Source organism: Homo sapiens, chromosome 5 (genome assembly GCF_000001405.40).
Source record: "Homo sapiens chromosome 5, GRCh38.p14 Primary Assembly".
NCBI lineage: Eukaryota > Metazoa > Chordata > Mammalia > Primates > Hominidae > Homo > Homo sapiens.
The window spans coordinates 1010419-1023627 of NC_000005.10; the positions used below are offsets into that span (position 1 = coordinate 1010419).

At 59.2% G+C, this 13209-nt stretch overlaps 1 protein-coding gene across 5 annotated transcripts in view, besides 5 other annotated features; it reads left to right on the forward strand.

The window, feature by feature from the left end:
• Positions 1 to 13209, forward strand: part of NKD2 (NKD inhibitor of Wnt signaling pathway 2) — a 30142-nt gene that overhangs the window by 1617 nt on the left and 15316 nt on the right. The window lies entirely within an intron of this gene.
• Positions 6521 to 7021: an enhancer, noted in NCBI's record as "H3K4me1 hESC enhancer chr5:1017054-1017554 (GRCh37/hg19 assembly coordinates)". NCBI's record gives its function as "activates a minimal SCP1, AML or CMV promoter by ChIP-STARR-seq in naive H9 embryonic stem cells {active_cell/tissue: H9 hESC(naive)}" and the evidence as "EXISTENCE:reporter gene assay evidence [ECO:0000049][PMID:30033119]".
• Positions 8154 to 8837: an enhancer, noted in NCBI's record as "H3K4me1 hESC enhancer chr5:1018687-1019370 (GRCh37/hg19 assembly coordinates)". NCBI's record gives its function as "activates a minimal SCP1, AML or CMV promoter by ChIP-STARR-seq in primed H9 embryonic stem cells {active_cell/tissue: H9 hESC(primed)}" and the evidence as "EXISTENCE:reporter gene assay evidence [ECO:0000049][PMID:30033119]".
• Positions 8154 to 8944: a biological region, named in NCBI's record as "H3K4me1 hESC enhancer GRCh37_chr5:1018687-1019370".
• Positions 8774 to 8944: a silencer, noted in NCBI's record as "fragment chr5:1019307-1019477 (GRCh37/hg19 assembly coordinates)". NCBI's record gives its function as "represses an EF-1alpha promoter that drives an FKBP-Casp9 reporter gene in an ReSE screen in K562 erythroleukemia cells {active_cell/tissue: K562}" and the evidence as "EXISTENCE:reporter gene assay evidence [ECO:0000049][PMID:32094911]".
• Positions 11564 to 12225: an enhancer, noted in NCBI's record as "NANOG-H3K27ac-H3K4me1 hESC enhancer chr5:1022097-1022758 (GRCh37/hg19 assembly coordinates)". NCBI's record gives its function as "activates a minimal SCP1, AML or CMV promoter by ChIP-STARR-seq in naive H9 embryonic stem cells {active_cell/tissue: H9 hESC(naive)}" and the evidence as "EXISTENCE:reporter gene assay evidence [ECO:0000049][PMID:30033119]".

A 13209-nucleotide genomic window follows, 5' to 3' on the forward strand; every position in this document is an offset into this window, starting at 1 on the left:
CCTTTTTGGAAAGACATTGTTCTGGCAGTTGATTAAAAAAAGTTCTGGGTGTGTTTGGAGACATTTTCTGCAGCTCTGTCTTGAGAAGGGGCTTAGGTCTGCTTGGAAATTAACATGCAATAGAGTTAGGATTGGTGCTTCCTGAGAGTGACCATCTAACGCCTGTGATGGTGGGAAGCACGCTGTAAGGTACAGTAAGTTGGGTGGTCCTGTGAGCCTCTATCCGGGACAGGGAGACCAGGGTGAGGTCATCCAGGGAGCTGTCCCCGCCCCAATCTGGCTCTCTCTGCCAGTTACATTTGCACAGGGGCTTGCTGGTGAGTGGATGGTGCCACTTAGCAGCCAGGTGCTCCTGGTATGATTAGTCAGTGATGTGAGCACCTGGGGTGGGCGGGCGTTCACCTCTCTCGTGGTCAGGGCTTTGGCCGGCCCCTGTCCATTGGCCCACTGGCCTGGAGCCTTCTCCCTGGGAGGCGCTGCACCATGAACCTTAAAATCCCTGAGCCAGCGCCCTCACCATGAAGTGCAGCTCCCAGGGCCATGGGGCAAGGCCAGTGCGCTCTGGAAAATGCAGGTGCTCCTCATGTGACTACGATGTCAGCGTGAGGGCTGCTCGTGGGCGTTTAGACCTGCCACTCTACACTGGGACATTTTCTTTAGAGAATAGCTTGGGAATTGGGGCTTGCTTGGATTGTTACCTTCTAATTTTGCCATCATTTCATGAAAGAAAACTCCTTTCTAAGTTAAAATGAACAAACTCAGAATCAAAGGCTGTCCTGTGAATTAAATACATTTCAGCTTTCAGACAAAAGTGCTGCCTTTCTGTATTTTCCGCCTCTGGCCATGACTCCTCCCACCTGGCATGGAGACCCCAGGGCCCAGGTGCGCCCTCACCTGGCCAAGTGCCCTCCCTGCCACATTGCTGTTCCTCTCACCTGGCAGCTGTTCCCCCTGCGACAGATCCTACTGACGTCCAGGAGAGTCGCAGGCCACCACAGCGAAGTGTCCCTCTGGCTCTCACCTTCTTCTTTTGTGTTGTCCAGAGCCTCGCCCATCGTCCTTGTCCTCCCAGGTGGTATCCACTGAGGAGGGCCAGTCCTGGGTCACCCAGGGCACCCCTTGTGATGCCTGGCTGGGGCCAGCGAGGGGACTCACTCCTTCCCTTCTCCAAAGTCCACCTCCTGGTTCCGTGCGAGGCATCCTGGGTGCCACAGAACGGTGGCAGAGAACCCTGTGGAGATTGGGCGCACTAAGAGCCAAGACCTCCGACCTACCCTCTCTCCCCAGCCCCCAAAATAACACAAATGAGATTGGCTATTATTAATTCCCTGTGAGCAATGCTGGCTCCTGCCTCTGTACGTGTCTGAAAACACCAACAGCAGCACTTTCCCAGACAGGTGTGTCTCTGCACCCCCGACGTGGCTCTCCCTGGCGACTCTGCGGAGCGCCACACTTTGCTTTTGGCGGGACCCGCACGGCTTCATCACCGAGTGTCCCTGAAGGGCTAGGGCCATGGGATCACTGGTGACGGTGCCGTGAAGGTCTGGAGAGTGGATTGTGAGGGATCCGGAGTCCCTGGGGATGTGCGTGGGTGAGGAGTGGTGCCATGGTGGCAGTGCACTTGTGTGGCTGTTTTTCCAAGTGGTAGTGACTGCAGGGAGGATGGCTTCAGGCCTGGGAACAGGCTGCCCCTGCACACTCACCCTCACCATCTGGTCTGCGAGACTAGCTTTAATTTCTACAGCGCTCCCTGAGGCTGGCGGAAAATGGTTCTGAAGACAAGAGTCACTGTTAACTGGAATGTTGTTGTGAATGGAGCACAGGCTTCCATGAAGTAGTGCTGAGGAAGGGTGCGCTGGGGCTAACTCCAGAGGCAGCATTGTAGCGAACACTCGTGACAGACCAGCCAGTGCGTGGAGGAGGCCGTGGCCCTGGCCTGCACGGGGGGCTCTTGCCCACATCTGCAGGAGGCAGCAGGCACGGCTCTGAGTGGCCCGTCTAGGGCAGGTCCCAGCTTACAGGAGGCACTCGCCAGTCCCATCCCCATGCCACGGCCCTTCTGAGTGTGCCAACATGGTACATGTTTCCTGGAAGGGAGCCAGGAGGACCACAGTCGTAAGACCTGCTGGCTCTGTCCAGGGCTGAGCTCCAGGCCAGGGCCCAGGCCTTCACCTGCACTGGCCTCTGGCTTCCAGCAGCAAACTCCATCTGCCCTCAGCATGGCCTTGCTCACGGGAACTGGGCTCAGCCCCACTACATGGCTTGACGCCTTCCGACTGGAACCAGCCACAGTGCCCCAGAGGCTCATATGCCTGCAGCTGGCCTTCCCCCAGAGGCAGGGGTGGGGCTGCCCCTTCCCTGCCCCTTCCCTGCCCCTCCTGGCCACCCAGGAGCCAGCGCTCACCTGTCCTCTGTGGGTCCAGAGAGCTGGATGTGGCAGTGGGATGCCCAGTTCTTGGTCAGTGGGAGCAGTTTCTTGTAGAAGATCCTGGAAAATTCTTCATGGCTTCAAGCACAGTCTGGACGCTACCGCATCAACACAGAGATGCAGGGTGGGGGCAAGATACACATTTGCAGGAGAGACTCGGGCCAGTGCACGTGCGCCCAGAGACAAGGCAGTGTGGACCATACTCTGCTTGGTGCTCGGCCACGTGCCACACAGAAGGAGAGGTTGTGGGTGCCCAGTCCACCCAGCTCTGCATTTGGGGGTGCAAGCCACTCCAAGATGTCCAGGAGAATGGCAGCTTCCAAAGGGAGCAGGGGTGCCTGGGGATGCCTCCAGCACAGACTCTGAGGGCCAACCTTCTGTCTTCTGTGACTCATGTTCCGGGACCCTGTGTCCTCATGGAGCTGAGGCCCATGTGGGGCTTTGTGTCAGAGCCGGCGGCAGCTGCAGTGTGTCATGGCTGCCCTTTGCTTTCTTTTTGGTGCCCTCTGTGTGCCTGGCCCTTGGATACAGGCAGCCGTGTTCCTACCCTGGGATGTGGCCCAGCCATGTGGCGAGGCCAGCACAGACATGCACAGAGGCTCAGGCACAGAGGGAACCGAAGGGAGTTGCCAGGCCACCTGGTCATCCCCCCTTGTGGGAGGCGTCGAGGTCACCTCTGGGCATGACACCTGATGCCCAGCACCTGAGAGCCATAGGACGGGTTGGATACCATGTATGTAGTTTCTGTGCCAGCCTGGGCCTTGGGCCCACTGAGGGCTGTGTGTGCGCCCAAGCTCTCCACCAAGCCGCAGGCATCCCCTGTCCTGCAGCAGGGGCTCTGGGGTGCTGACTGGGAGAGCGTGCTGACTGGGAGAGGCTGCTGCCGGTGCCTGGCCATGAGGTTGGGCCAGTGGATCTGTGTTGCCCATGGTGGAGGCCGGAGGCTGGCCAGTGGCGTGGTCCTGCCCGCTCGGGTCACTGTACCTGGACAGTGCAGATGTGCATTCTCAGTGTCGGCCCCTGTGTCTGTGAAGTGCATCCTGAGAAGCCCTGCACATGGACCAGGCAGGTGTCTGGATGGAGGCCCTGGAGCACAGAGCGTCCCTGCCACAGGGCCTTGGGCTAGAGTTGGGGGTTTCACAGACGAGGCCATCTGGGGCAGCTGTCACCCCTGGACTTCCAAAACAGCTTCCTGAAGCTAAAACTGCCCATTTTGCTGCTGAATGAGCTGAAGTTTTAGATTTCTGCAGGTGAAAGAAGACAGGTGGCTGCACCCTGTTCTCCTCAGTGGGCTGAACCACCATGGGAAGCCTGGTGCTGCTCCGTCCTCCTTCCTTCCTACTTGTGGCTGAGTAATTTGAATTCCTTTGAGGTTTTCATCTTGTTTTGGCTAAAGAGCTTACATCTTTCCTTTTCTTAAAAAACCCAGGCTGGTTTGCAATCCTCGGAAACCAATCATCAGCCCTGCAGCTTTGGGCCGCCGTATGCCTGCATTAGGGTGTTGGGGGTCCATCAGACGCACACGCGACTCCTGGGAGCCGCGGGAACTGTGGCTGGTGCCGGCCAAGGCAGTTGTGCCAGAAAGGGCAGGGCCGTCTCGAGTACCCATCCACGAGTGCCCTTCGGTGCCCTGGGCCCCTGCTGTGCATGCCTCCCGTGTGAGCAGCAAGGTGATGGTGAGATTGGAAATGCAGTTTCATCTGCCTTGTAGGAGTGGCTGGCTCTCCTTTGCCCCTGGGTGGGCACCGCTTGTTCAGAGCTGGCAGTAAGTCCATGGCCACCCCAGGTCCAGGCCCCGACTGGGGGAAACACACACCTTGCCACTGTCCTGTCTAGGCTAGGGTTGGGGGTTCGGCTCTTTCTATTTCTCAGGAAGCCAGGAGTCTGGGCCAAGGGCTCCTGTCCTCCACCCCCGCTTTGCGGCCAAGGGATACCCACTTGGTCAGCCCCGACAGAGGCTGTGAATGAAGTCCTAGTCAAAGACCATAGTTGGGAGCCACCATATGGCCGTGTTACGTGTGGCCCCCTCGCCAGCACCAGGTTTCTGTCATCCCATCGTTAGCAGAGGCGGCTTGCATGGTGGCTTGACAGCCTCTGGACCCGGCTTCGGACCCGGTGCTGCCACTCACAGCCTGGCCACATCCCTCGTGCCTGGGCCACCTGCTTCCCCTTGTGGTCCTGTGAGGAAAGACAAAAGGGACAGCTCCACGCTCCATAAGGCCAGGCAGCGAGGGCCACCTGGAGAGCAGCCAGGTGTGGCCGGGCCCCTTCCTGGCCTTTTGCCCCAAGTGCCGGGGTGCTGCAAGCCAGAGGGGTGCGTGAGTCCGTGAGCTTGTGCCAAGATGCTGTGGGCCTGATTCGTACTGCACAGTCATCTGAGCTGTCAGCAAGCTCTCACTGGTTGGCAGTGCCCACAGCCTCCCTGGCGTGGCCAGGTGTGGTGGGAGCAGAGGCCAGTGGGTGGGAGTGGGGTCCACCGTCCTTCCTGTAGAGAGGAAGCCTCTGGCCTCCTGGCTGCTGTTCTTGAGTTGGCAAAGCCACACTTTACGGAAGCGGTAGTTCTTGAAGCCAGACACACCTGAATTTGGAGTTGCCCAGCCTACCCCAGAATTTGTAGACAGCTACCTGCCAGATCACTGGGTCCCTGGAGCTCTGAAGGCTGAGCCCTATGTCCTTCCTGCAGGGCTCTCAGACAGATGCCTGCATCAGAAACTCCCTGGGTTATGACGAAAGGCCTATGACACCCCTAGGGAGTTGGGGAAGCCTCAGGAGCATCAGGAAGCAGGAGGAAGCAGGAGCCACTGCTGGGGTGAGGTCAGCATTTAGAGGCGGTCCTGCCCGCACATGCTGCCGCCAGCATTTCAGGGTGGGCTGCTCCCAGCAGGACTGCAGATCGGCCTGTCCATGTGTGGAACCCGAGGGGGCCTGTGCTGCGTCCTGGGGCATTCATGCTGGAGGGTTCCTGTGGCTCCGTCCTCTCACAGGTCTTACCAGCCGTGGCCCCTCTCCTGTTGGACTTGCCTTCCTGAACATGGGGAGGGGTCCCGAGCCCAGGACCCCTAATCAGTTCCAAGGGCTCCAGAGCTTTCAGTCTCTGCCACCTTCTGAGCCGTCGTCTGTCACAGATCATGACCGTCAGCTGTCCCTGGAGGTGCGGAAGGAGCCCTTCCTGTGGGGCTGCTGGGTTAACGCCGGAACCATGGGGAGCAGAAGGCGCGGTGTGTGAGAGGGGTCTGCCCAGGTAGCAGGATCCCCCCCCACACCGGACACTTCCCCAGCGTGGGGCGGAGCTCGTGGTGCTGGCCTGGAGGGACACACGGTGCTGACCTGGCTGCCGCCTCTGGACTGCGAAGCCTGGACCTGCTGGGACAGGAGCCTTGCAGAGACCCCGATCCGCTCTCACGGCGAGCTGCACCCATGCTGGCTGATGGGAGCTTTAATCTGCTTTCATGTTGGCAAATACTTGGCAGGGCACCCTTTGGCAGCCTTTCACGCTGGCGTGAAACAAATTGGGTCTGTTCGATCCTGTCCTGCGCAGAGCTGGAATTCACTGGTGGTGATGGCCAGCCCTTGGCAGCTGGAGGGGGAGGGTTTGTTTTCCTTTTGTTCTGCAGAATTTTCCAAGGAAATCGTAAATAGTTTTGCGCACCAAAATCAGAGAAGCTAAAAAGCACGAAATATTGTAATACAAACATTCAAATTGGAGATTATTTTAATGGTAAGTGTCTTGGCGGATTTAGACTGAGAGCCTTGCCAGAGGCCGATGGAAACGGGGGTCCCTCCTTGCTGTCTCCAGTGAGGTTCTCCGTGAGGCACTCACGTCGGTAGCTGGCAGGACCCTCCAGGGCTCCCACCTGCCCTTAAGGCCGTGGTCCTGCGTGGATGTACTTCCAGGACGAGGCCTCTCACATCCGCTAAGGGGGACGTGACAAGAGCTACAGCAGCTGTTTTTGGATAACAGAGCCTACCCCATCCTCCTTTCCACAAAGGATAACAGAGCCGACCTCATCCTCGTTTCCCCAAAGGATAACAGAGCCGACCCCATCCTCCTTTCCACAAAGGATAACAGAGCTGACCTCACCCTCCTTCCCACAAAGGATAACAGAGCAGACCCCATCCTCCTTCCCACAAAGGATAACAGAGCCGACCCCATCCTCCTTCCCACAAAGGATAACAGAGCCAACCTCATCCTCGTCCTTCCCACAAAGGATAACAGAGCCGACCTCATCCTCGTTCCCACAAAGGATAGCAGAGCCGACCCTATCCTACTTCTCACCAGGACGTGCCTGGACATGGTGCAAAGCTGCTGCCCCTGGTGGCCTCCCTGCTGCCCCGGGGACGTGGGTAGCTTGGCTCTCTGTGGCTGGCGTCTGGGCCTCAGCGTCCTGGGGTCCTCAGAGGGACCCCATGTCCCTCTGCCCACCATCACCGCCTGCTCTCTTGGCTGCCCAGGTGCACCCAGCTCAACTGTCCCGAGGGCGTGCCAGGCCAGTGGCCAGGTCCGTGTGCCCTGCACCCTTCAGGGCAGCCACTCATGTCTGAGACCAGCCAGCCCCAGACAGAGCTGGAGCAGGGGCCATTTCAGTGGCCCTGATTTTGCTCCTGAGGGCTGTGGTGTAACACGAAAGAACGTTGCTGTAGGCTTCCAGCCGTGGGATTCCAGGGCTGTCTTTGCCTTGTGCTGCTGGACAGAGCAGGACCTGCACCTCTGTTTGTCACAGGCTTGTCCTGGGCACCGCCTCAAAAGGAGGAAACAAAAACAGAAGGGCTGAGTCCCGGAGCCAGGACCCCAAACCAGAAGTCCCTCCCAGAGCCCACAGCCCCCCACCACGGGGCCGCCCTGCAGCCCCAGGGCCTGAGCTGCTTTCTGGATGCTGGGAGAACCGGACAGTGGCTGCTGGAAGGCAGGCCTGGAGGGCTCTGGGTGCTGGGGTGCGGGTGAGGCCGGGCATGGGTGCAGGCCTGTGGTGCTGGGGTGTGAGAGATGCTGGGCTGGAGTGTGGGAGAGGCCAGGCAGGGGTACAGGGCCCGTGGTGCTGGGGTGTGAGAGAGGCCGAGCTGGGGTGCAGGGCCTGTGGTGCTGGGGTGTGGGACAGGCCAGGCAGGGGCGGGGGCTGCCACTTGATGTGGGTGTCAGGACAGTGTGTGGTGAGGAGGCATGGAGGAAGCGTGGCCCCCCAGAGGCTTCCAGGCTGGGCAGCCACTGCAAAGGCCCTGAGGCAGGAGTAGGCCTGGAGGACGGGACGGTAGCAGGCAGGGGCTGCGAGAGACACAGCGGAGGAAGAAGAATGGCGGCCCCCACCCATCTCCCTCTGCCAGAAGGAGCCACGGGCACAGCCTACAGATGTGCACTGGTCTCTGTGCTGTGGGAGGCCAGACCTGGTGTCTGTGAGGAGCACCACAGCTGCAGACCTGCCGGATGACCCTCGGGTGACACTTTGGGGTGGAAGACCCCACCCACCCTGCAAGCCATGTTCCTCGGGCTCCGAGCCCCATCCTCACATCTGTGGAGCAGGTGGGACCACTAGCAGGGGCTTCTGGCCCTTCCTCTCCTCCCATTGATTTGTTGAAAGCGATTTAGGTTTTCTGTAAAACAAAGCGGACATGGGCCTGGGGAAGGTGCTTGCGGGTATTTCATGAGCTTTTCTAGGCCTGAGACATGTTTTAGGTGGCAGCGGGCTCACGTGTGTTGGGGGGAGAGACTGGTCACAGTCAGGGCGACTCAGGGGCTTGTGCTCAGATGGTGACGCCCAGCCCCCTTGTCCCCAGGGTGACAGGGAGAGGTGGCAAGAACTGGCAGCTGCCCACAGGCTGAGCCGAGCCCAGCAGAAAGGCCCAAGGCCGGAGCACAGAGGTGGCCTGGATGCTTCTGGCCGGTGGTCAGGACCCTGCCAGGCCTTGCTTGGAGGCATCTTGTGTATGAGGGGAGCCCTGCCCATGCCAACCACCTAGCTGTGCCCAGGGGAAGCCGCCCCAGAGGCCCATTCTCGGGGTCTGTTTGCCTGTCGTGGGGAGAGAGTGTCACAAGCTGGGCCCACAGGGAGGAACATCCTTGGCCTCCGAAAGGGCAGAGAGCACCATCCCTGCTTTGGGGCATCTAGGGGAGCAGCAGGTGGGGACGTCACGCCTCTGTCCACAGCCCAGTCTGGGAGACTCAGAGCCCTGTTGGTGAGTCCTGGGTCAAAGGGCATAGCGACCAGGCCAGAGCGTCACCTTCCCGCTATCCCTGTGGCGGGGCTGTGATTGCCTCTAGCTCTAGTGACCGGGGCGGTGGTCCTGGCTGCCTGCACCTCCCCTGCCAATTATACCCACTATAGGCACCCCTGTGCCAGCTGCTCCTCTTTTGCGGTTGGAGTGACCCCAAGACGTGCTGTAAGGGTGTCTTTGTGTGCGGCTCAGAGCTCATCCCGAGAACCCTGCAGCCTCCAGGCCTTGGATCCGGTGCCCTTCCTGAGACGAGATTGTGTGTCCCGTAACAAAGATGCGCGTGGTCTTCTCTGAACAATTTTTACCTCTCACGCGGGGGTTCTCACCGCTCTCCCCTGAGAGTGGGCTGTGGCTTGTGTGGACGGCAGCCGCCAGGCATAGCCCCTGCCCCCTAGAGCCCTCTGCAGCCTCGGCCAATAGCAAAGCCGCAGGTGGCCACTGGGCCCTCCTTTCATCTCGTGGAGCCTCTCGCCAGCCACAGCAGGGCCCTCGTGGAGGTTCTGAGATTGTCGCGTGCAGGGCATGCGACGGGGGTGCTTTAGAGAAAGAAAAGGCCTTGATTACTTGTTTGAGTAGCTCAGTCCCCAGGGTCTGGAGCTGTAATCAAATATAAGCCCCTCAACCAGCATTTTCCGCTGTTTCTCTTTGGTAAGGACATCGACGTTGCATGTTCACATATGGTGTCTTCCAAATTAGAAAAAAGAAAACCCTGAAACGCGGCAGGGTTCTTTCCAGCTTTGGAATTAATCTTCCTTTGAAATAGGAAACATGAGGCTTTAATATGAATGAAAGAAAACAAAAACGTCCGGTGGGTTTTTCCCGGGGAAGAATTCAGATAGAAGAGAAGTGGATTCGGGTCTGCTTTCAATCCCAGTGGAATTCAGCCTCCTCTGAGTGGGGCGGTTGAGGGTGCAGCAGTTCGGAAGTTCAGGGCCCGAGTCGTGGTTTTATTTTGTGTGTTCTGCGCTCTGGATGGTAAGCTGAGGGTGGCAGCTGAATTTGGAAGGTTTTCCTTTTTCTGTGACATTGGGGATCGTTAGCTCTGAAGACAAAGACAGTAGCAGGCGTGACTGGGAGAAGAAAATTAGACCTGCAGATGAGTTGTGAAATGGTTGTCTAACATTCAGTGTCAGCACTTCAGGATGCTGAGAGTTGAAGGCAGGGAATAAAGTTTCGGCAGAGTTTATGATCACGCCTCTATTATCTGGGCAGGGGCGCACACACGTATATGTAGGTGTATGTATGATGTGTTCACATATGTGAGTACACACGTGTATACATACATGTATAGAGGTTACACACACATGTACGTAGGTCTGTATTTAATACCTGAGCTGAAGACATTTCATTTCAAGACACCTGCTCTCCACCCCCACCCCCTAGTCACCCTGCTCAGCCTCAGCCACACCTAGCTGACGATGGAGACTCTGGGAGGGCTGTGGGTTCCCATTCCTGAGCCAAGGTGTGGGCCCAGTGGCGCTCACAGCTTCCCCCTCCCATCCGCGTCGGTTAATGCGGGTAAAGTGCTCCCTGAGTCCCTCTCTCCAAGCGTGGGGAGAGGGAAGCTCGGCTGCCTGGTCAAAAAGCCAGGTCTTGCTGACCACGTGTTGCTTGTCTTTTTTTTTTTTTTTTTTTTTCTGCATGTGTTTTACGTTGGGGTTTATTTCATGGGCAGGGCAGCCCTGGGCCTGTCCCTGTAACTCATCTCTTCACTTCCACTTGTAAGGATGCCCCGTGGGTTGGGCTGGGTGCCCCTTTACCCCTTGGTGTGGTCAGTCGTCCCCTTAGGCTGAGCGTCCACCCTCGTGGCAGGGGTGGGCACTGCAGAGACCCTCCCTGGGCTTAGGGCGTTTACTGGGTGAGGGGGCGGATGCCAACACAAAAGCCCTGTAGTGAGGGAGTGAGGGGCGTGGGTAGTGTGGCACCTCCACGTTTTCCCATTTAAACAATCCAGATGATGAAAAGCTGCTGTGAGGCAGGATGAAGAGGGAGACAGAAACATTTCTATTTTCTGGTCTTATAGGAAGTTAAGTCGCAGCAGAACTCTGGCTTGTGAGGACATCTGAGTATTTTAGGAGACCTTTTGACCCCAAAGTTACTGCTTTTCTAGGTATAAATTTCACATGTGGTTATTAAAAGATCTCTCAAACCCAGAAGAACCGATGGGCAAAATCTGCAAATGCCTCTCAGATATGGAGGCTCCGTCTGAATGTATCTAGGGCTTATGTGGGAAGCCCGGCTCCCCTGCCCGGTCCCCCCGGCCCCCCACCTCCCAGCCCCTTTGCTCCTCCCGCTGACCCGGCCCCCCGCCCCTCCACCCACCCACCCACCCACCCACCCGTCCCAACCCCTGCCCCCGACCCAGCCCCCCCCAGCCCCTCCCCACAGGGCCTCAGTCTCATAGTACTTAAATCTTTCACTTTAGAACCAGAAGTTCAGAATAGCAAGCACAGCCTGGAAGGAACTGGCGCACAGTGTTGCTGTAGCCTTTCTGGGCCCCAGCTGCACATGTGTCGGAATTATTAAGCCCGTAAAACTACATTGTCACATCTGAAACTGTTTAGCCATTGAAACCGAGACTTTGACTTCAAAGCCGGCTGCGGGGTTTCCAGACAGGCGCGCTGGCGGATCACCTTGAAGTCAAATTCCATCCTATGGCGGCCGGCAGAAGTGGGCCCCCGGCACCTCCTTGTAAGAAAACACTCTCTTCCGCAGACGCCGGTGGCAGGTTCCCCCCTCCCATGGTGACATTTTGGAGAGGCTTCTTTGCATCTGAGCTCCCAGCAGGGATAAGGCGGATGGGGTGGTGGTCTTTGCATTTAAAGAGCCTTGGAAACCACTGCTCCCCACCAGGCCCCAGGCCCTCTGCCTGCTGCTCCGGGCCCCTCCCCCAGGGCCGCCTGCAGCCTGCTGCGACCAACCCCTGGCCTCCTTCCCTGTTTCCTGCTGGCCTCATTTTCCACCTTGTCTCATAAGGTGCCCTCCCACCCTCCCCCTACCGCCAGTCGAAACGGGGTCCTTGCTGTCCTTCAGCCCCAGAGCCTGCACCCTTGACCTTGCTGGCCCCTGTCCACCAGTAGCCAGTGGCGCTGTCCCTGTCCCTGCTCTTCCCACCTGCTGTGGGTGTCCCAACCCATTGTCCCTGCTCTTCCCACCCGCTGTGGGTGTCCCAGCCCTTTGTCCCTGCTCTTCCCACCCGCTGTGGGCGTCTCAGCCCATTGTCCCTGCTCTTCCCACCCGCTGTGGGTGTCCCAGCCCTTTGTCCCTGCTCTTCCCACCCGCTGTGGGTGTCTCAGCCCATTGTCCCTGCTCTTCCCACCCGCTGTGGGTGTCCCAGCCCGTTGTCCCTGCTCTTCCCACCCGCTGTGGGCGTCTCAGCCCATTGTCCCTGCTCTTCCCACCCGCTGTGGGTGTCCCAGCCCTTTGTCCCTGCTCTTCCCACCCGCTAGTGGGTGTCCCAGCCCTTTGTCCCTGCTCTTCCCACCCGCTGTGGGCGTCTCAGCCCGTTGTCCCTGCTCTTCCCACCCGCTGTGGGCGTCCCAGCCCTTTGTCCCTGCTCTTCCCACCCGCTGTGGGCGTCCCAGCCCTTTGTCCCTGCTCTTCCCACCCGCTGTGGGCGTCTCAGCCCGTTGTCCCTGCTCTTCCCACCCGCTAGTGGGTGTCCCAGCCCTTTGTCCCTGCTCTTCCCACCCTCTGTGGGTGTCCCAGCCCTTTGTCCCTGCTCTTCCCACCCGCTAGTGGGTGTCCCAGCCCTTTGTCCCTGCTCTTCCCACCCGCTGTGGGCGTCTCAGCCCGTTGTCCCTGCTCTTCCCACCCGCTAGTGGGTGTCCCAGCCCTTTGTCCCTGCTCTTCCCACCCTCTGTGGGTGTCCCAGCCCGTTGTCCCTGCTCTTCCCACCTGCTGTGGGCGTCTCAGCCCGTTGTCCCTGCTCTTCCCACCCTCTGTGGGCGTCCCAGCCCGTTGTCCCTGCTCTTCCCACCCTCTGTGGGCGTCCCAGCCCATTGTCCCTGCTCTTCCCACCCTCTGTGGGCGTCTCAGCCCGTTGTCCCTGCTCTTCCCACCCTCTGTGGGCGTCTCAGCCCGTTGTCCCTGCTCTTCCCACCCGCTGTGGGCATCCCAGCCCATTGTCCCTGCTCTTCCCACCCTCTGTGGGCGTCTCAGCCCATTGTCCCTGCTCTTCCCACCCGCTGTGGGCGTCCCAGCCCGTTGTCCCTGCTCTTCCCACCCGCTGTGGGCGTCCCAGCCCGTTGTCCCTGCTCTTCCCACCCTCTGTGGGCGTCTCAGCCCATTGTCCCTGCTCTTCCCACCCGCTGTGGGCGTCCCAGCCCATTGTCCCTGCTCTTCCCACCCGCTGTGGGCGTCCCAGCCCATTGTCCCTGCTCTTCCCACCCTCTGTGGGCGTCTCAGCCCGTTGTCCCTGCTCTTCCCACCCGCTGTGGGCGTCTCAGCCCGTTGTCTCTGCTCTTCCCACCCTCTGTGGGCGTCTCAGCCCGTTGTCCCTGCTCTTCCCACCCGCTGTGGGCGTCCCAGCCCATTGTCCCTGCTCTTCCCACCCTCTGTGGGCGTCTCAGCCC